The following is a 23,589-nucleotide window of genomic DNA, read 5'->3' on the forward strand; positions in this document are numbered from 1 at the left end:
GAAGAAAAGGTCAGGAAAAGAAAGAACAGTCAAATAAGTAAACGCTAATTGAATTCCATGTTTTTTCTGGGTAATATTCCCATGGGTTGGCTGCCTCACCCTCAGTATCTCTCTTGACTTTGTATACCTGAAAGTGAATTTCTAGAACCTATAGACATTGATTGATTGATTCCAATGTGGAAAATTCAGGGAGAGCCTCCATTGAAAGGGATCTCCTTCCTGGCAACTAAAAACAAGAGAAGTAGCCAAAAGCGTACCCGCTCCCATGCAGTCCTGGTCACTTTCTGCAGTTGGTCATATTGTAGAACCTGAGTGATCAGGTAGAGAATGCCTCACTTTCTTCGGTGCTAATAAATATACAGTATCTTGGGAAAGTTGGTCTAGGGCTTTTGTTTTTTTTCCTACCACCAAGGTGTCATCTAGCCGTAATGTTAAGGGGACCTTAAGAAATATGGGCATAATAAATCAAATAAACCATAAGTTACCAACTTTCAAAAACTATTGATTTTCTTATAACAAATAAATTTTTCATTTTAGAAAATAAGATTATAGGAGCAAAAATAAAATAATCACATAATCCATAGATAATACTGTGAACACTTTGATCTGTATCTTTGTAATTATCCGTAAATATGCATCTATACTTATATAGATAATCTTCTGGAAATAGAATTATACTGTATACCTTTTCCTTTATTTGCTTTATTGGGTTTTTTAAAATAGTGTGTACTATGTGCCAGGCACTATTCCAAGTACTTTACATGTCTATTAACTCAGTCCTTGAAAGAACCATGTCAGGTAAATACTATTATTATTTTCATTTTATCACTTGAGAAAACTGAGGCCCAGAGAACTAGAATGCCCTTCCCAGGGTCACACCTCTATTAAATGGCAGAGGCTAGATTTGATCCCAGGCATTTTGACTTCAGAGTCTACTATTAACTACTACTCTCCATGACATTAAATATTTTCCTACACCGTAGCTTTCAAACTTTAGTCTACGTAAGGATTATCCAGTGAGTTTGTTTAAAATACAGAATCCTACATCTTCCAGAGAATTAGATTCAGTAAATTGGAGTGTACTTTCTAAAAAAGCATCCCAATCTGTTTGTGCTGCAGATCTATGGATCACATGTTTAAGAGAAACCTATGTAGAACATCACTTTTTTTTAACTAAACTTTATGTTGAAGTAAAATATATTTGTGGAAGAGTGCTTGTAAGTGTACAAATCAATGAGTTTTCACAAAGTGGGTACACTCATGTCACTCCCCTCAGACCAAGATATAAAACATTGCAAGTGACCCAGAAGCCTCCCTCACATGCTTTCCCAGTCACTACTGTCTTGACTTTATCACTGTCAATTATATACATGGAGTCCTGTCTACAGTATGTACTCTGGCTTCTTTAGCTCAACATCTTGTATGATTCATCCACATTGTAGCATGAGATACTGGTCCATTAATTTTCTTTGCTGTATGGTATTGCATTGTACAATTTCTTCATTCTACTATTGATAAATGTTTGGGTAGTTTTTCACACTGGGGTTATTATAAATTGTGCAGCTCTGAACATTTTGGGGCACATCTTTTTTTTTTTTTTAATTATGCTTTAAGTTTTAGGGTACATGTGCACATTGTGCAGGTTAGTTACATATGTATACATGTGCCATGCTGGTGCGCTGCACCCAGTAACTCATCATCTAGCATTAGGTATATCTCCCAATGCTATCCTTCCCCCCTCCCCCGACCCCACCACAGTCCCCAGAGTGTGATATTCCCCTTCCTGTGTCCATGTGATCTCATTGTTCATTTCCCACCTGTGAGTGAGAATACGCGGTGTTTGGTTTTTTGTTCTTGCGATAGTTTACTGAGAATGATGATTTCCAGTTTCATCCATGTCCCTACAAAGGACATGAACTCATCGTTTTTTATGGCTGCATAGTATTCCATGGTGTATATGTGCCACATTTTCTTAATCCAGTCTATCATTGTTGGACATTTGGCTTGGTTCCAAGTCTTTGCTATTGTGAATAATGCCGCAATAAACATACGTGTGCATGTGTCTTTATAGCAGCATGATTTATAGTCCTTTGGGTATATACCCAGTAATGGGATGGCTGGGTCAAATGGTATTTCTAGTTCTAGATCCCTGAGGAGTCGCCACACTGACTTCCACAATGGTTGAACTAGTTTACAGTCCCACCAACAGTGTCAAAGTGTTCCTATTTCTCCACATCCTCTCCAGCACCTGTTGTTTCCTGACTTTTTAATGATTGCCATTCTAACTGGTGTGAGATGGTATCTCATTGTGGTTTTGATTTGCATTTCTCTGATGGCCAGTGATGGTGAGCATTTTTTCATGTGTTTTTTGGCTGCGTAAATATCTTCTTTTGAGAAGTGTCTGTTCATGTCCTTTGCCCACTTTTTGATGGGGTTGTTTGTTTTTTTCTTGTAAATTTGTGTGAGTTCATTGTAGATTCTGGATATTAGCCCTTTGTCAGATGAGTAGGTTGCGAAAATTTTCTCCCATTTTGTAGGTTGCCGGGGCACATCTTTTGGTCCATTTATGTACACATTTCTATAGGGTATATATACGCTTCAATTAGAAGTGGGAATTACTGGTGATGTGGATGTTCAGCTTGGATACATATTGCCATAGCTTTCCAAAGTACTTTTGCAAATTTATAGTCTTACCATCAGCATATAAGAATTCCTTTGGTTCCATATCCTTGATAGTAGTTGGTGGTGTCAATTATATAGACGATTTTTTACTGACCATATAGTAGTTGATCCTACATATGAACAATAGTATGTGTAATCAGTCTTCAATATTGTGTATAGGCTGTCATCTTTCCTTATTTTAAACAGGACTAAAATGAACATTATTGTAGCTGGCTTATATCCTTATTTCCTTGAACTAAATTCTGCAAATAAAATTGTTGGATCAAAGACTATATACACTTTTTAAAGATTTGCTTTCAATAAAGATCATCCAAAGCCTCATTAGAAGGCTTGCACCAATCTATCCCCCTACTAGCTATGTGTAAGAATGTCTGCCTACCCTAATCGTTGGTATAAGTTGTGTTTGTAAACTTTGCTAAAATTGATAGGCAAAATGTTATCTTTTTGTTTTAATGTATCTATGAACACTCGTGCGTGTCTATGTTTTTTCATGTGTTTATTGGATATTTGTATTCTTTTGTGAGTTACTTATTCAGGTCCTCTTCTATTATCTTTTTCTATGCTGTTTTGTAAAAACACTGGATATTGAGGATAGGAATCATTTAACTGCCATCTACATTGCAGTTCCTTTTTTTTCTCCCCTTTCTCCCACATTCCTTCCCAGTTACTTTTTATTGTTTGTCTTCAGTTCTAGTTACGGCATGGGTTTATTTTTTTTTTGAAATTCAGGCTTTTTTCAATGTAGTCAATTCTATATTTTCTTGTGTTATATGACGTTAGCCTTTCTCACTTTAAGATTATATAAATATTCTTTATATTTTTTCTACCTCCTCATGGTTTTCTTTTTTACATAAAATTTCAGTACATGGAATTTCATTGTGGTTTATTATGTATAAAGGATACAACTGCTTCTCTTAATTAGTTGATTTTTACATGGTTTGTCGCCTTACTCTACTTATTTAGAATGCCACCTTTATCCTAAAGGCATCTATCTACTTGATGATCTATTTCTAGGTTTTTCTGTCTAGTCCTAACAAAAGAACACACTGTTTTAATTATTGTTACTGTATATTATATTTTTAATAGCTTGTAGGGTGTTTCCTTTTTAGGAAAATTTGTGTTTTCAGATAACCTTAGAGTTGATTTCAGAAAGTTCTTTTAAAATTATCTGGGTGGAATTTGCTGACTTTTAAAAGCAATTTCCATGAAAAGAAATGTGGTATTAACTTCACTATACAAAGTTAAGAAGGAATAAAAATTTAAGAAAGAACAAAAGTATCTCACTTGATGATTATTATTAACTACTCTTAACAGGGGAAAAGAGAAAAACTTCATTGTAGAAAAAACTTCACCCTCAAAACCGTTCCAGCCACTAACTACAATCACCATCTTGTTGGTGCTTCCTCATGTATTGAAGAATTCCAATCCCAGTTCATTTTTGTAAGTAAATTACTTGCTGAGCTCATGTTAATTCTTTTAAGATGAATATGTCCTCTCCATTACAATCAAATTTTTCAGAATCCTAGCAAAATCTAGGGGTTAATATGTAATATCTACAAATAATATTGCTTCCTAGAGTCATTGTAATTTATATATATGCAACAGCAAAATAGAGGTAGTTAATCCTTTGGTTACATATGTAGTTCACTGAAGAAGGCTTTTGCAAGGATATTTCTACCAAGGAAATAATTCTTCCCTCTAACTGCTATAATTTCCGTATGAAATATGTAATAAAAAATAGCTATTTAAGTTTTCTCAGTCATACACATACAGAGTATTCAAGCTTGCATTTATTTATTCATCTCATTGCTTATTCATGTTAGAGGCAGGCATGGAATCTAGATCTCTTTTACTATCTTGATTAATACAGGTTTATAATAATTTTTTCTATTTTTGTGGGTACATAGTAGGTATGTATATTTATAGGATACATGAGATTTATTTAGGTATACAATGCATGATAATCACATTAGGGTAAATAGGGTATCCATCACATTAAGCATTTATCTTTTATGTTACAAAAAATCCAATTATACTTTTAGTTATTTTTAAATATACAATAAATTATTGTTGGCTATCGTCACCCCATTGTACTATCAAATACTAGATCTTAGTCTGTCTAACTATATTTCTGTACCCATTAACCATCCCCACCTCCCCCCCATCCTACTACCTTTCCCAATCTCTCGTAACCATCATTTTACTGTCCTGTCCCTGTGGGTTCAGTTGTTTTGATTTTTAGATCCTGCAAATAAGTGAGAATATGTAATGTTTGTCTTTCTTTGCCTGGCTTATTTCACTTAACATAAAGTTCTCCATTTCTATCTGTGTTGTTACAAATGTCTAAATCTCATTTTTTTTAATGGCTTAATAGTACTCCATGGTGTTTAAGCACCACATTTTCTTTATCCATTCATCTGTTGATGGACACTTAGGTTTTTTCCAAATATCGGCTATTGTGAACAGTCTGCAACAAACATGGGAGTGCAGATATCCCTTTGATGTACTGGTTTCCTTTCTTTGGAAAGGAAAGGGTGTATACCACACCCAGCAGTGGGATTGCTGGATCATACAGTAGCTCTATTTTAGTTTTTTGAGGAACTTCCAAACTGTTCTCCATAGTGGTTGTACTAATTTCCCCCGACAGTGTACAGGGTTCCTTTTTCTCCACATCCTTGCCAGCATTTGTTGTTGCCTGTTTTAGGTATAAAAGCCATTTTAACTGGCATGAGATATTTTCTTATTGTAGATTTGATTTGCATTTCTCTGATGATCAGTGATAATGCGTACCTTTTCATATGCCTGTTTGCCATTCCTATGTCTTCTTTTGAAAAAATGTGTATTCAGATGTTTTGCCCAGTATTTAATCGAATTTTTAGATTTCTTTCCTGTTGAGTTTTTTGAGCCCCTTATATATTCTGGTTATCAATCCCTTGTCAGATGGATAGTTTGCAAACATTTTGTCCCATTCTGTGGGTTGTCTCTTCACTTTGTTGATTGTTTCCTTTGCTGTGCAGAAGCTTTTTAACTTGATGTGATCCCATTTGTCCGTTTTGCTTTGGTTGCCTGTGCTTGTGGGATATTACTCAAGAAATCTTTAGGCCGGGTGTGATGGCTCATGCCTGTAATCCCAGCACTTTGGGAGGCCAAGGTGGATAGATTGCTTGAGCTCAGGAGTTCGAGACCAGCCTGGGAAACATGGTGAAACCCCATCTTTACCAAAAATACAAAAAAATTAGCTGGGGGTGGTGGCATATGCCTACCCAGCTGCTCAGGAGGCTGAGTGGGAGGATCGCTTGAGCCCTGGAGATCAAGGCTGCAGTGAGCTTGATCGCATTCACTGTACTCCAGCCTGGGCAACAAAGTGAGAACCTGTCTCAAAAAAAAAAAAAAAAAAAAAGAAAAGAAATCTTAGCCCAGACCAATGTCCTGGAGAGTTTCCCCAATGTTTTCTTGTAGTCGTTTCATAGTTTGAGGTCTTAGATTTAATTCTTTAATCCATTTTGATTTGATTTTTGTATATTGTAAGAAGTAGGGGTCTAGTTTAGTTTTTCTGCATATGGATATCCAGTTTTACCAGCACCGTTTATTGAAGAGACTGTCTTTTCCCCAGTTTATGTTCTTGGCACCTTTGTCAAAAGTGAGTTCGCTGTAGGTGTGTGGATTTGTTTCTGAGTTCTCTTTTCTGTTCCATTGGTCTGTGTGTTTGTGTTTAAGTTTATGGCATCTTTAACTTATCACAGGCTATGTTAAAGTGGTATTACTCCCCTTTATGTACAAAAATCTTATAGTCGTATACTTTCGTTTTTCCTTTCTCAATCTTTGTGCTATTGCTGTCATGCATTTCACTTTTACATATGCTATAGACTCCACACCATTATTGTTATTATTTTTGTTTAAACAGTAAATTATTCTTTAAAGAGATTTAGATAATAAGAAAAAAATTGATATTATCCATATAGGTGCCATTTCCAGGGCTTTTCATTCCTTTGTGTCAGTCCATATTTCCACCTGTTATCATTTTGCCTACAGGACTTACTTTAACATTTCCTATAGTGCAACTATGCTGGTGATGAATTCTTTCAGTATTTCTGTTGCTTAAAAAGTTTAATCTTCACTTTTGAAAGATATTTTCACTAGGTAATCAAATTCTAGGTTAACAGTTTTGGGGGCGGGGGCAGTTGTTTTTGGTACTTTTTAAGACGTTGCCCTGCTGTATTCTTACATGCACCATTTCTAATGAAAAATTTAATTAATGTCATACTCACCTTTATTCTCTGTACCTAATACTTCTTTTTTTCTTTGCTTTTAAGAATTTTTCTTTTTTTAAATTTTTTATTTATTTATTTTTGGAGACAGGGTTTCCCTCTGTCACCCATGCTAGAGTGCAGTGGCACACTCACAACTCACTGCAGCGTCAACCTCCCAGGCTCAAGCAATCCCTCCACCTCAGCCTCCTGAGTAGCTGGGACTTACAGACATGTGCCACCATGCCAAGCTAATTTTTGTTTGTTTTTGTAGAGACCAGATTTCTCCATGTTGCCCAGGCTGGTCTCAAACTCCTAAGCTCAGGCGATCCCCCTGCCTCGGCCTCCCTAAGTGCTGGGCCAGGCGTGAGCCACCGTGCTGGACAATAATTTTTGTTTTTTTCTACTGCTTTTGCCTAATCTGATGATGATATGCCTTGGTTTCATTTTCTTCATATTTCTTGTAATTAAGATTTGTTGAGCTTTTTTATTTAGCAGTTTATACTTTTTATCAAACTTGGAAAAATTTTGGCCATGATTTCTTCAAATATTTCTTTCTATCCCAATTTTTCCCCTCCTTCAGGAATTCTAATTATGTGTATATTAGGCTGTCTGAAATTGTGCAACATGTTACTGATGCTTTATTTTTTTTCTATCTCCTTTTCTCTCTGTAGTCCATACTGGATAGTTCCTGTTGCTGTAACTTTACATTCACGAAATCTTTTCTTCTTCAAAAAATACACTGCCATTCTCTCCAGTGTATTTTTTTACCTCACACATCAGTTATCTGTAGATATTCTATTAGAGTCTTTTTTATATATTTTATGTACTTAACTTTTTGAATATATAGAATACAATTTTAATAACTTTCTTAATTGTCTGCTAATTCTAACATTTGTGTCAGTTCCGGCTTGGTTTCCATTGATTGATTTATCTCTTATTATGACTAATGTTTTCCTGCTTATTTGCATGCCTGGTAAATTTTGCATGCCATGAATTTTGGGTTTTAATTTGCCAGATGCTAGATATTTTTGTATCATGTTTTCTTGAGCATTGTTCTGGAGTACAGTTAGTTAGAAACTGTTCGACCCTTTCAGATTTTACTTTGTTTGACAAGACTGTTTTGCATACTTAGTGTCCATGAATCTTGACATTTTCAAGTCTGGCTAGTGGGAATAGTGGCTATACCCTGTGAGCACAGGGCACTCCTAATCTCTGGTTGTTCTTTCCTCAGCCTTGAGTAGTTTCCTCATGTGCATGTGCTGATCTTACTCCATGGAATACTCAAAGGGGAGCCTCTGAAGATCTTGAGTTTTTTCTGTGCAGCTCTCACCTGTCTAGTACTTTGTCCTGTGAACTGTAGCTACTTTGGTCTCCCTGGATGTTTTGCACTACCTCCTCAGCTCAGTCTGCTAAGCTCTGCCTGGGTTTCCCTTCCTTGCCCTGAGGCCGAGAAACTCTCAGGCAGTTAGCTGGAGCAGTCTTAGGTCTCACCTCTTTGCTTCCCATCTGTCCACAATAGCTGCTGTCCTTGCCAAATATCCATTATCTTAAGAGCTATTTTTTTCTGTCTTTTAGCCTTGTGTTGGTTCTTGGAGGTAGGGGTCAATCCAGTCTCTGTTACTTCATCTTGGCTGGAAATAAAAGTCTTCTTTACTAATTTTAATATTAAATAATAGCTTTTCAAAATTATTTTATAGTACCTTTATAAGCTATGTCAGTGTTATTTTCCCTATTCTCAAATGAAAAAGGAATAAAAGCATACCCAGCAAATTTAAGCATAACCATAATAAACACCAAGAGGAGTTGTCTCTTGAAAATTCCAAGACCAGAGTCCTCTCTAAATCCCCAACACCGAGCCTGAGAACCTGCTGCAGTACTCTTTTCCTGTCACACCTTATCAAATGCAATAGCCATCCAATAAAGTAACCCAGTTAAAAACTTAATTTAAATTTGTTTGATAGGTAAAAATTAAACTTAGCAGCACCACATTGAATGAACAAAAGCTGTAGAGTCATTGCAAGTGTCATGCTATTCATAGAGATAAGTGCTTCCCATCCATAATATTCTGCAGTCTTTGTGTATGCCTGGCCTTAGTAAAAGGAGGGATGCCCTTAGCACCCTAAATATTGCTTCTACCCCCATCTTCTTCCTGTGTTCCTTAAACCTCTATCACCAACTTAAAAATGTTCTCCAGGCATTGTAAATGAAGAAACAGCTTAGACCTAGTTATAAGCTTTTATCCAACTACATATCTGTCTGATTTAATAACTTGGTGTTTATGTTTTTAGGAACATAGCTACAGTGTAATGGACAGTCCAAAGAAACTTAAGCATAAATTAGATCATGTGATCGGCGAGCTAGAGGATACAAAGGAAAGTCTACGGAATGTTTTAGACCGAGAAAAACGTTTTCAGAAATCATTGAGGAAGACAATCAGGGAATTAAAGGATGAATGTCTGATCAGCCAAGAAACAGCAAATAGACTGGACACTTTCTGTTGGGACTGTTGTCAGGAGAGCATAGAACAGGACTATATTTCATGAAATAATTTCATGTTACGTTCCACCTAAAATTGTCATTGGTACAAATTTTTATAAAATCTCATTTACCATCACTAAATAATATCCATCATTTAAAGTGCTGCTTTGGATTCTCTGGAGCATTATGCATTATAGTTGTTATCCAAAGACTTTTTTGAAAATATGCAGAAATTTGTGGTAATTATGTATTTGTGTCTTGTGACAATTATGTTTTATAGACCTACACTAGTGCCAGGTCACTATTGTAAGATGTTAAAATCTCAAGAAAATTTCACAGAGCTAAAGAAATGATGTCAAATTAGTCACATTAAGCTATAGTAGAAGGAATTGGACACTTCTCCAGATATTTGGCTTCAAAGGAGTACCTTTACTTACATGTGCTTTATGGTAAGTACATTGAATTTTACTTTAAATGCATTTTACTACAAAGCACAATTCATTTGTAATGCATATCCATCTTGGATTCAATCCAAGGTGCTTTAGCTATCAGTAGTACCAAAGGATCTTTTTACAAGGCTTCCTGTGGTATTGACTCTGAGAATAACACATAGTGAAGATCTGTGGGCTTTTAAAATTGTTCACAGCCAATTTAAGAAGACCCCTCATGAAGTCTCAGTTTTCAGTACAGTACATCATTCCTCCTCACTAGGAGCACTTTGATGTAAACCAGAATAGCTTTAAAAAGACAAAAAGGATCGTAGATCTGATTTTTAAATGGTTGGTTGCTCTGACAGATCTGAACACTTTGCTTCATGACTATTTCGTCATAAAGGTATATGTTTAAAATCTGAATGGCAGTACTAGCTCTATACTTTTAATACTGCTTTGTATTTTATATGTAAAGTAGTATTGCTGACATTTTAAAAAAATACAAAATACAAAAGAAACCATTAGAAATTAATAACTGTGGCTCTTCCAGTTGAAATAGGAATTGGAGAGAAAGGATTAGAATATTTTAATTAGGGGAGTAGATTATTGTCCAAAGGCTTTTATTTAGAGAAACGGGTAATTAAAACAGCAGCTTTAGAATAGCTTCTTACTGAATATGCAAAAGAATAATTCCTTGTTATTTCCTAATTGATCCAAGTCTCATAAATTTAGCTTTTGTCATAATTCCTTACCGAAAACAACTGAAATTGAGAGTCATAAATACTGTGGGTTAGAATAAAAACCATTTGCCAAAGCAACACTCTACTTAGAAGCACATGTACATACATGGACCTCATTCAGAAGTCCATGTTGTAGCAGTTAGAATTTGAGTATCAGCCATTTCATTGTAGTAACAAAAATTGAATTGCATTTTGTGCTCAGTTGTTTATTGTAATTTTATTTTTGTTACATTAATATTAGTTAAGATATGGTCACTTGAATTTTTTGTATTTAAGAATTTTCTGTTTTAATGCATGTTATACTTTTATGTAGGATTCCAAACCTTCCCTCTAAATGGGATTTAACCCACATCTGCGAGATCAGCGTTATGCTAAGAGGAAATCACTGAGGCCATATCTTTTTACAATCTGAAAAAAAAGTAGTAAAAAGGTAGTTAAAAAAAAAAAAGGCCGGGTGGTGGCTCATACCTGTAATCCTAGCACTTTGGGAGGCCAAGGCAGGCAGATCACTTGAGGTCAGGGGTTCAAAACCAGCCTGGCCAAGATGGTGAAACCCCATCTCTGCTAAAAATACAAAAAAAAATTAGCCGGGCATGGTGGCACGTGCCTGTAATCCCAGCTACTTGGGAGACTGAGGCAGGAGAATTGCTTGAACCCGGGAGGCGGAGATTGCAGTGAGCCAAGATCACGCCGTTGCACTCCAGCCTGAGCAACAGAGCAAGACTCCATCTCAAAAAAACAAAACTACTTTCATTAATTACCCATTATTTATTTTAGTTACTTAATTTTGAGTTCATAAATGGCCACCCTAATGGAAAGTTTGGGTATGATCTTAGGTTTTATGGAGATGTTTTCAATAGAGATTATTTTTCCCTCACCCTATTTGTGAATATATAAATTAAAGTAAGACAATGGAGTAAGTAAGAGGGTAGATCCAAACACAGTATGTCTAAATTCTAGCACTCTACTGGCTGCTTAGAATACACCAAACCTGGAAGACCTTTCCAAGAGTAAAATCCCAGTCTGCCACTATCAAAATTGCCACAGTCACTTTTACTACTTGTGTTCATAGTAGACTCAGCACTTCTTTTTCACTGGACCTAGTATAACTGAGAAATAAATAACTGTGTGCAAAATATTGGTATCATTAAGGACCCAGAGCTGCCCATTTTCTCTTTGTTCTAATAGGGAAGCAATTACTGATAGAAATGTGAGATTAAAAATAGGGTCCTCCCTGCTGCTCCAAACAAATGCCTAAACACAGTATGTATCTCAGTCCTCTGTTCCCAGAGATTCCACCCTAGCCCAGGAAAGAACTGGCCTGTGTAAAGCAAAACCCAAGTCATCCCCCTCCAGAAATTTCTCTGGCAGCCAAGCCTGACCCTAAGGGTTCCACTTTGCTTTAAAAGCTAGGAGTGGCCTCTAGAGCCAGGAACACATTAATACAACAGTTCAACCTCAGCACCAAGTCAGGTACGAAGCGCTTGATACGTGGAATTTTTCTCTATATCAAGTTTAAATTTCTGGAAATAGACTTTGGTTGCTAATGACAATTACAGTTATACCATAGTCTGTAATTTGAGAAAAGGTGAAATGTATTTAATATATATTTAGTTTTAATAAAAAGATAAAATTATTACAGAAATAATTGAGAGAGAGAAAATCTATTATAATTTATTTGAAAAATAAAACATTTTATCCAGTAATGTGTTATGTGGTTTTATACATTGAGTTATTCAATAAAATGGGCAGAGAAAAATGAAGAGTACGTACGTAGAGGTTTTGCTCTAATTTCTCCTCCACCAATAACTCTAATATGGGGTCTGCAAGGTTAGATGACCCACGTAGCAGGCCAGCTTTCAGCACAATATGGACCTATCATAGAGCCCTTTTCTGCATTGGCCCTCACTCAAAACTGTCAGATATGATGTCACCCAGTATATAAAGGAGAGCAGCATTCCTAGGTGTGAAATATGCTGCCTTTAGAACCCAAAGAGGCCTGTCAGGCATTGTGCTTTCTTCTTCATAGTGGAACATACAGGTTGTAAATAACTTGTCTCTTACTTTAGAGGGGATGTCTTAGCATGCCGCAGATCACTGGATACTTCTCCCCCAAAATTTTACTGATGTTTATAGGCCCCTGAATTTCATAAGTTTTATCTCACCATCTGGAGCACATGTGCTTTATCAAGGCCTCCAATTAACTAGTCCTCCCATTGGATTAACATAATCCATCAGTAGAGTGAACTAAGTGATTTTCCATAGAATGTCTGTCTGGTCTAGACTTCTTTCAATTATAACAGAAGCAAGATCATTAACATAACCTTGGGGACAAGACCATATATGTATACTGTGGTTTTTTCCATGTGAATGTGAGCTGTTTCTGATCCTTTAATAGGGATGGAAAACCATGCACCCAATGGTTGTATGGCATCTACCCATAGACATGTTAATCTGCTCTAACAAAGATGCCACATCATGCATAGCAGCTGTAATCAGGGCTACTCGTTGGTTGAATTGTCCTTAGTCCAACTGTCATCTTGCAGGGTCTGTCTAAATTTTGCAGGGGACAGAATGGTGAATTAAATGAAGAGAGATGGTGGAGGCCACCATTCATGTCTATCTTGTATGTCTGTAAAGGTAGCACCTCAGTGAGCCCCACAGAAAACTCTGAAACTGGGGTCATACACAAAAATGAGTTAACATAGGCATGAAACTGCTATCCTTGGAAAGGCCTGCAAGGTTGCAAGGTTAGTTCTTGAGTGGCATCTGGAAATTTGGATTCCACCATTCCCTAACTGATAAGAGTAGCTCACTGTGCCAGACTGTTTGTACAGACAAGGTGGTTTATGCAGAACACCCAGTTTCCTTCTGGGAGTCTGGATTTGAGAATCTGTTAGGTAAAGGGGGGCTGTATGACCAGCCCCAAATAAAACCTTGAACATTGAATCTTTAATGAGCTTCCCTGGTAGGCAACGTGTATTGTCACAGTTCAGCACTATAAGACTTAAATGTGTCCTGTGTGATTACACTGAGGAAGGACTCAGAAGCTACACCTGGTTTCCTCTAGACTTTGTACCATGTGCCTTTTCCCTTAGCTGATTGTGCTTCTTCTTTGTATCCTTTTGCTATAATCATAGCCTTGAGTACAACTATATGCCGAATTCTGTGAGTCCTTCTAGTGAATCATGAAACTTGTGTGTGTGCTCTTGGGGACCTCAACACAGATGACCTTCCAAACTTGTCCTGCATTAGGGCAAAGAAGCTATATTAATCCGTTTTCACACTGCTGATAAAGACATACCCGAGACTGAGCACTTTATAAAAGAAAGAAGTTTAATGGACTTATAGTTCCACATGGCTGGGGAGGCCTCATAATCATGGCAGAAGGCAAGGAGGAGCAAGTCACATCTTACATGGATGACAGCAGGCAAAAAGAGCTTCTGCAGAGAAACTCCCCTTTTTTTTTTTTTTCTTTCAAATCATCGGATCTCATGAGACCCATTCACTATTACCAGAATGGCATAGGAAAGACCCGCCCTCATGATTCAGTCATCTCCCACTGGGTCTCTCCCACTGGGTCCCTCCCACAACACATGGGAATTATGGGAGCTACAAGATGAGATTTGGGTGGGGACACAGAGCCAAACCGTGTCATTCCGCCCCAGCCCCTCCCAAATCTCATATCTTCACATTTCAAAACCAATCATGCCTTTCCAACAGTCCCCCAAAGTCTCAATTCATTTCAGCATTAACTCAAAAGTCCACAGCCCAAAGTCTCATCTGAGACAGGGCAATTCCCTTCCGCCTATGAGCCTATAAAATCAAAAGCAAGTTAGTTACTTCCTAGATACAATGAGGTACAGGCATTAGGTAAATACAGCCATTCAAATGGGAGAAATTGGCCAAAACAAAGAGGCTACAGGCCCCATGCAAGTCTGAAGTCCAGCAGGGCAGGCAAATCTTAAGCTTCAAAATTATCTCCTTTGACTCCATGTCTCACATTCAGGTAATGCTAATGCAAGGCATAGGTTTCTATAGTCTTGGGCAGCTCCTTCCCTGTGGCTTTGCAGGGTACAGCCTCCCTCCTGGCTGCCTTTATGGGCTGGCATTGAATGTCTGTGACTTTTCCAGGCTCACAGTGCAAGCTGTTGGTGGATCTACCATTCTAGGGTCTGGAGGACGTTGGTCCTCTTCTCACAGCTCCACTAGGCAGTGCCCAGTAGGGACTCTGTGTGGGGGTTCCAACTCCACATTTCCCTTCTGCACTGCCCTAGCAGAGGTTCTCCATGAGGACCCTGGCCCTACAACAAACTTCTGCCTGGGCATCCAGGCATTTCCATACATCTGAAATTTAGGCGGAGATGCCCAAACCTCAGTTCTTGACTTCTGTGCACTCAAAGGCTCAACATCATATGGAAGCTGCCAAGGCTTGAGACTTGCACCCTCTGAAGCCACGGCCCAAGGTGTATGTTGGCTCCTTTCAGCCATGGCTGGAGTGGCTGGGACACAGGGCACCAAGTCCCTGGGCTGCACACAACACGGGGACCCTGGGCCTGGCCCACAAAACCATACTTTCCTCCTAGGCCTCCAGACCTGTGATGGAAGGGGCTGCCTTGAAGATCGCTGACATGCCCTGGAGACATTTTCCCCATTGTCTTGGGGATTAACATTCAGCTCCTCATTACTTACGCAAGTTTCTGCAGCCGGCTTGAATTTCTCTTCAGAAAATGGGATTTTCTTTTTATTGCAAGTTGGGCTGCAAATTTTCTGAACTTTTATGCTCTCCTTTCCTTATAAAACTGAATGCCTTTAACAGTACCCAAGTCACCTCTTGAATGCTTTGCCGCTTAGAAATTGCTTCCACCAGATACCCTAAATCATCTCTCTCAAGTACAAAGTTCCACAGATCTCTAGGGCAGGGGCAAAATGCTGCCAGTTTCTTTACTAAAACATATCAAGAGTCACCTTTGCTCCAGTTCCCAACAAGTTCCTCATCTCCATCTGAGACCACCTCAGCCTGGATTTCATTGTCCATATTGTTACCAGCATTTTAGTCAAAGCCATTCAACAAGTCTCTAGGGAGTTCCAAACTTTCCCACATTTTCGTATCTTCTTCTGAGCCCTCTAAACTGTTCCAACCTCTGCCTGTTACCCAGTTCCAAGCTTGCTTCCACATTTTCAGGTATCTTTCCATCAGCACCCCACTCTCGGTACCAATTTGCTGTATTAGTCCATTTTCACAATGCTGATAAAGACATACCCGAGACTGGGCAATTTACAAAAGAAAGAAGTTAAATGGATTTACAGTTCCACATGGCTGGGGAGGCCTCACAATCATGGTGGAAGGCAAGGAGGAGCAAGTCACATCTTACATGGATGGCAGCAGGCAAAAAGAGCTTGTGCAGAGAAACTCCTGTTGTTGTTTTTTTCCTTTTTTTCAAATTTTTTTTTATTATACTTTAAGTTCTAGGGTACATGTGCACAACATGCAGGTTCCTTACATATGTATACATGTGCCATGTTGGTGTGCTGCATCCATTAACTCGTCATTTACATTATGTATATATCCTAATGCTATCCCTCCCCCTCCCCCCACCGCACAACAGGCCCCAGTGTGTGATGTTCCCCTTCCTGTGTCCAGGTGTTCTCATTGTTCAATTCCCACCTATGAGTGAGAACATGCAGTGTTTGGTTTTTTGTCCTTGCAATAGTTTGCTGAGAATGATGGTTTCCAGCTTCATCCATGTCCCTACAAAGGACATGAACTCATCCTTTTTCATGGCTGCATAGTATTCTATGGTGTATATGTGCCACATTTTCTTAATCCAGTCTATCATTGTTGGACATTTGGGTTGGTTCCAAGTCTTTGCTATTGTGAATAGTGCTGCAATAAACATACAATGGAACAGAACAGAGCCCTCAGAAATAATACCACACATCTACAACCATCTGACCTTTGACAAACCTGACAAAAACAAGAAATGGGGAAAGGTTTCCCTATTTAACAAATGGTGCTGGGAAAACTGGCTAGTCATATGTAGAAAGCTGAAACTGGATCCCTTCCTGACACCTTATACAAAAATTAATTCAAGATGGATTAAAGACTTAAATATTAGACCTAAAACCATAAAAACCCTAGAAGAAAACCTAGGCAATACCATTCAGGACGTAGGCATGGGCAAGGACTTCATGTCTAAATCACCAAAAGCAATGGCAACAGAAGCCAAAATTGACAAATTGGATCTAATGAAACTAAAGAGCTTCTGCACAGCAAAAGAAACTACCATCAGAGTGAACAGGCAACCTACAGAATGGGAGAAAATTTTTGCAATCTACTCATCTGACAAAGGGCTAATATCCAGAATCTACAAAGAACTCAAATAAATTTACAAGAAAAAAACAACCCCATCAACAAGTGGGCAAAGGATATGAACAGACACTTCTCAAAAGAAGACATTTATGCAGCCAACAGACACATGAAAAAAATGCTCATCATCACTGGCCATCAGAGAAATGCAAATCAAAACCACAATGATATACCATCTCACACCAGTTAGAAGGGCGATCATTAAAAAGTCAGGAAACGACAGGTGCTGGAGAGGTTGTGGAGAAATAGGAACACTGTTGGTGGGACTGTCAACTAGTTCAACCATTGTGGAAGTCAGTGTGGTGATTCCTCAGGGATCTAGAACTAGAAATACCATTTGACCCAGCCATCCCATTACTGGGTATATACCCAAAGGATTATAAATCAGGCTGCTATAAAGACACATGCACACGTATGAGAAACTCCTGTTTTTTAAGAAACTATCAGATCTCATGAGACCCATTCACTATCATGAGAACAGCACAGGAAAGACCTGCCCCCATGGTTCATTCATCTCCAACTGGGTCCCTCCCACAACACATGGGGAACTACAAGATGAAATTTAGGTGGGGACACAGAGCCAAACCATATCAGAAGCTATGCCTTTATACACTTGTATCACCAGTTATTTGATGAGGGCTGCCCCATGAAGAGGGCATGCCATCCAGCAAGGCAGTTCAACTGAAGCAATTTCTGAAGAAGGCTGAGGTCTGTCTTCAGGAGCACTCCCAGCAGCTGGAGGAATAAGTCCTTTGTTCCTGAAGGGAGTTCTGTACCTCAGAGTTCATCATCTTTTTGAACTCCCTAGCACTCACTTCTTTCTATTCTGCTCTAACCCAGAGTTACTCTGTAATCTAATGCTCTCAGTAATGAAGAATTAGTGATATGTCAACCAACTTCAGAGTAAAACTGCTCTAGCAGGTCCCTCTAGTTATGAAAAGATGCATTTCCCAAAGATCTGTTGTATGTTGGAGATTTACTATGGTATTAACCATAGTTAATATAATATGTTAACTTACTATGGTGCTTACTTAGTACTAAGTACTAAGGTACTTTTTGTACCTTTTGCATTAGATTCAGCATAAACTGGGTAAAGATGGAAAATCAGACATGAGCTGGTATAATACCAGGCAGTCTGCAAAACTATCCAGACATCTAAAACAATGCCTTTCTGTACATTGCAATCTACCTGGGTACCTACATCATAACTGACAAATTTCTCTGTCCTAGCTCCACTTCTATTGATTGTATACCCTTAACATCTCTCAGATACAGCCCCTTTCCCACTCAATCTCTAGGACCATTTCCTTGGTTTAAGCTGTTATTTGTTAACTTGATTACTGCAAGAAAGTCTTTGGTCTCCCTGTTTCCAGTCTATCTCCAGAGGGGTTTTTCTAAAATGCATATATCAATAATTATATTAAACACAAGTGATCTAAAAATCCCAATTAAAAGGCAGGGATTGTGAGACTGGATTAAAAAGTAAAACCCAGACTGGGCACAGTGGTTCACGCCTGTAATCCCAGCACTTTGGGAGGCCAAGGCAGGCAGATCACCTGAGGTCGGGAGTTCAAGACCAGCCTGACCAACATGGAGAAACCCCATCTCCACTAAAAATACAAAATTAGCCAGGTGTGGTGGTGCATGCCTGTAATCCCAGCTACTCAGGAGGCTGAGGCAGGAAAATTGCTTGAACCTGGGAGGTGGAGGTTGCGGTGAGCTGAGATCATGCCATTGCACTGCAGCCTGGGCAACAAGAGCAAAACTCCATCTAAAAAAAAAGAGAGAAGCCCAATCATATGCTGGATACAGACAGTTACTTCATTTTTAATTTATTTTATTTAGTTAGTTATTGAAACAGGGTCTCACTCTGTCTCCCAGACTGGTGCAGTGGCATGATCACGTCTCACTGCAACCTCCACCTACTGGGCTCAAGCGATCCTCCCACCTGGGACTACAGGTGTGCACCACCGTGCCTAGCTAATTTTTGTATTTTTTGTAGAGACAAGGTTTCACCATGTTGCCCAGGCTGGTCTTGAACTCCTGGGCTCACGCAGTCTGCCCACCTCAGCCTCCCGCAATCTGCCCACCTCGGCCTCCCAAAGTGCCGGGATTACAGGTGTGAGCCACTGCGCCTGGCCACAGCTAGTTTAAATACAAAGAATCCAGTAGGTTAAAGGATAGAAAAAGATATCCCTGTGATAACACTAATCAAAAGAAAGTTGGGGTAATAATAGACAAAATCGATTTCAGAGCAAAGTATATAAACAGGGAAAACGAGGGTTATTTCACAATGATGAAAGGGTCAATTAAGAGGATATACGGTCCTAATATTTATGCACCTAATTAGAAAGCTTAAAATTCATATGCAAAAACTTGCAGAACTGCAAGAAGAAATAGATAAATTTATACAAGTGTTGTCAAAAAAAAATATGAGTATGGGCAGAGCTGAAAACAGTCCTGCAGGGAGAAGAACGTGGTCTCAGAAGTCTAGGGGGGGCACCAAAACTAACGGGGACTGTGAAAGAATAATGCCCCCTGCAAAGATGTCCAGGTCCTAATCCCTAGAACATGTGAATATCACTAATATGGTTTGGCTCAGTGTCCCCACCCAAATCTCATATTGAATTGTACTCCCATAATTCCCATGTGTTGTGGGAGGGGCCCGGTGGGAGATAATTGAATCATGAGAGCGGTTTCCCCCATACTGTTCTCATGGTAGTGAATAAGTCTCAAAAGATCTGATGGTTTGATAAGGGGAAACCCATTTTGCTTGGCTCTCATTCTCTCTCTTTGCCTGCCACCATCCTCTTAAGATGCGACTTTCTTCTCCTTGCATTCTGCCATGATTGTGAGGCCTCCCCCGCCACGTGGAACTGTGAGTCCAATTAAACTACTTTCTTTGGTAAATTGCCCAGTCTCAGGTATGTCTCTATCAGCAGTGTGAAAATGGACTAATAGGATCACGTTTCTTACATGGTGAAAGAGAGCTTGCAGATTTGATTAAATTAAGGATCTAAAATATGGAAAGATTATCCTGGATTCTCCACCTGAGTCCTTACAAGAGACAGGCAGGAGACTCAGCGTCCAAGGAGATGTGACTATGGAAGCAAAGGTTGTGGTAATGAATAGCCATGAGCTAAGGAATGTGGACAGCCTCTAGAAGCTGGAAAAGGGAAGGAAATGAAGTCTCCCAGAGAGCATCCAGAGGGAATGCAGCCCTGCTGTCCCATTTTAGATTTTGGACCTCCAGAACAACTGTAAGATAATTTGTGTTGTGTTTTACTCCACTAAGTTTGTGGTAATTTGTTACAATGGCAATAGGAAACTAATACTAGGCTAAGACAATATCAGAGAACCAAGCCAAGAAGTGGGAGCAACTGCAAAGTTAGTCAAATATAACAAGAGGCAAAGAGAGAATCTAAAGGAAAGACTGGTTCTAGCTTGTTATGATGAGCCAGGTAGGGCATGGCACATGAGTAGACAGCCCAGTTTGGGAGACAGCATTAAAAAATATCCTGAAACACTCAAAAAAGTGTCATATTCCTCTAGCAAGGGACTCTGGACATGCACATACAGTGCCCCAAAACAGGAAATTACGTACATGACCCAGATTGTAGGATTTGAGAGTCTCAAAAACAGATAAAGGTGAGCTGAACTAGGAAGCCCTGTGTTTCACAGCCTCAGTATTGTGAAAAAAAAAAAAAACAGGAACATAAGAATGTCATTGGAGTGGGCCAGGGAAGCCTGGCTTGTGCCTGAGAAGATAAATTCTACTTGTAGAGGGCCTGATTCTCTGGCCAAAAGAAAAAATATTCTATCCCTAGGAAGATGAGAGGTATAATTGGCTCTTCCACTGGACTAATGGGAAGAGGGAAGCCAGGTTTCTAAAACCTAAAGGCAAGCCTGGGTAGCGCCTGAGCCATTGATGCCTCTTGTTGACTACCCTCTTCATAGGTCTCATTATTTTACTTTCACATTGCTGCCTCAAACTTCATTTAATATTTTAACAACTGTCACAGCTCCCTTTGGAGAACACGCTCAAGATAAACAACTGTCCCCCTGCTGCCACATCCCTCACCTTCCTGCTAGCTGTGCTTCTGATCATAGAATTGTGCCTGATGCAGAGCAGGAGCTGACAGAGATTGAAACGAATGAAGAAAATGTTAGATTAGGACCAGGAAACCCAAGAGCAGAAGACCTACAATTTGTAATCTAAGAACCACATGAGGGTCCATGATGAGCACTAGTCACAGCAGTTGAGGAAGAAATGCTGAGAACCTAGCACATTCAACATTTCCACACGTATTTTTCAGGAGCCAGGAACTGTATGCCAGGGAATATGCTAGGCATTGGAGAAACAACATAGATTCACTTCCTGTCTTCAAGGAGATTACATGCTAGTATGAAGTTCCAAAAGCCATACTCCAAGGATACCAGGGAGCGCAGCCATATATCTCAAGACAATGGGTTCTTGAATTCAGCCTAATGCCTTTCTCCTCATTGTGCACTACTTTATTGGACAACACACATGGCTCAATAGATTTATACCACAGCATCTTACAGTTTAAGTGTTTGGGTCTATCATTTTATATCTGTCTTCTCAGGTACATGAAGAAGTTTACAGACTAACATGTTTAGTGTAATAACCCATCACATATACTGCTTTCGAAGCCCCATACGATAGTGTGAGAGAACAACAGGAATAAGGTGAAGACATTCACAACCTACAGGGACATACAAGTACATAACACAAATACAGATAAGTGGGCAATATAGCAGGGTCTGTGGCAATTAAAGGTACTGAAACTATGAAATTAATGGAGCTTCAAAATTACAAAATAGAACATAAGTTTGTCAGTGTGGGCACTTTGAAAGTGCTGTCCCAGAACCTGGATTATGTAAGCACCTTCCTGGGATGTGAGAGTAGGAGACCAAACCAGCTGGGGAGAACCAAACAGACTTGGGTTCAAGTTCCCAGCCTCCCACTTCATTATATATGGGAAGTGGGTCAACTTGCTGAACTTCTCTGAGCACTTACAAAGTAGACAATAGCACCTTACCCATTGGTGGTGAGAATTTTATTTCATTGCGTATAAAACGTAGACCATACAATGAGCCATCCACATACTGTTTTTCTTTCTTCTTTAAATTCCATCCCATCCCAGAAACACAGGAAAAGGAAACAAGAACAGGAAGAAGAACAAAAACCAAGAAGAGAGAAATGCATTTCATAGGGAATGGCAAGTGGACAGGCAACAGTGGTCAGGTAGGCTATTTGTGCCTTAAATAATCTTCCCTCTCTTGTGGCAGCTCAGAAGCAGGCAAGGAACATTGTATCACTGAAAGGGAAAATTTCAATCACCATCCTCCTCTTCATCCTCTCACTCCAATACTGACAAGCCATTTAATCTATCTTAGATATGTTTCGTTCATTCACCCGTTCATTCAACTTTATAAAACATCTTGACAGTGTTACTTAGAATGTTCCCAGATCAGTGTATACAAATCAAGGCACTTGGAGCAGAATGTAGATCGACTACATCACAAAGCACACCATTTAGCTCAGTCAATTTTTTTTTCAGTCAGAATGTTTTCTGAGCAAGACTTCCTTAGTAAATGAAATCATATGTTGATTTACATTCTGGAACAAGAGCTTTTTCTCATTCTGAACCAGTCAGAAAGAGTTCATAGGCTAGCTACTTTGTGTAGCAGTGTCTCAGAGCATCAAGTCACTTACTAAACAGATAATCCTTGAACTCACCTGAGCTCCATGTTCTGTGGTCAGTTAACAGCAGAGGAGTTCCTGACAGATTTGTGTCCAATAATAAACTTCTCAAATCCTTGTGGTACAGCTTGTGCAGTTGAAAGGTAATATCGCATCTGAATTTGCAGATTTGGGCCTTGTGCTTTTTAAAACAGAAGAGTTTTATTAAATAAAGAGTGAAGTGTATGTGCTATGCAGGATGCTAACCACAGATACTAGTGATTAGTACCTTATGGAGACAAGCATTCAGCTACAGACTTGCCAGTAAAATGTACTCAACATAAAATTTCAATAAAAATAAGGATACTGGTGCTTATTAAACAGGTAGATTTTATAACGGTATAAAATGTTGCCAGGCTACACAGCTGAAAGAAATTACCTTTGAAATCCTGAGGATGTAAAAAAATTTTGGATTGTCACTCTTATTATAACACTTGTAGATGGGTCTTAAGAGTAGGGAATGTCTTGATTATTGAGATGTACAATTCAAGTTTCTATGGCCATCACCATCATCTGGACATATTTTGTTGAAAATCACATGGGAAAATGGTGTAACCAGAAACAAGACATGGCTATCCAAAGGATCAAACTCACCAGGACACCATAAAGACTGGTAAATTTTAGGATGAAATGCAAATGTATTCTATATATTAAAACTAAAAACCATTTTAGTAAGTTATTTTTAAATGTACCTGATAGCAAAGGGGCTCTGTATGTGCCACGTGAGGGCTACGTGAGGACTGTTCATGAAAGCATAAAGTAGAAGGCAACCCAAATACCCATCAAGCAGTAAATGGATAAATAAAACCGTGGCGTGCCCATGGAATGAAACAATAAGCACCAATTCAAAAAGACATCAATCCATATTATC

At 38.9% G+C, this 23,589-nt stretch overlaps 1 protein-coding gene and 1 long non-coding RNA gene across 13 annotated transcripts in view; one reads left to right on the forward strand and one right to left on the reverse strand.

Annotated features, from left to right (window-relative positions):
* Nucleotides 1–23,589, forward strand: part of THAP6 (THAP domain containing 6) — a 33,421-nt gene that overhangs the window by 3,832 nt on the left and 6,000 nt on the right. For 4 of the 12 annotated variants that reach the window (XM_011531667.4, XM_011531666.3, NM_144721.6 and 1 more), the window contains 2 exons: nt 3,997–4,122; nt 9,221–12,287. The exons of 1 other annotated variant lie outside the window; for it this stretch is intronic. In XM_011531667.4, the coding sequence (XP_011529969.1) occupies nt 3,997–4,122; nt 9,221–9,475 (381 nt within the window). In that variant the 3' untranslated portion in view covers nt 9,476–12,287. Of the gene's footprint in view, nt 1–3,996; nt 4,123–9,220; nt 12,288–22,119; nt 22,221–23,589 lie in introns of those variants that run through there. 7 more of the 12 variants (XM_047449653.1, XM_017007801.2, XM_047449652.1 and 4 more) reach the window with 4 other exon arrangements.
* LOC124900717 (uncharacterized) lies at nt 22,120–22,821 on the reverse strand. The gene is made up of 2 exons (XR_007058142.1): nt 22,716–22,821; nt 22,120–22,293 (listed from the first exon to the last, which is right to left on the reverse strand). It is a non-coding gene; the product is annotated as an uncharacterized LOC124900717 (long non-coding RNA).

Source organism: Homo sapiens, chromosome 4 (assembly GCF_000001405.40).
Source record: "Homo sapiens chromosome 4, GRCh38.p14 Primary Assembly".
NCBI classification, from domain to species: Eukaryota; Metazoa; Chordata; class Mammalia; order Primates; family Hominidae; genus Homo; species Homo sapiens.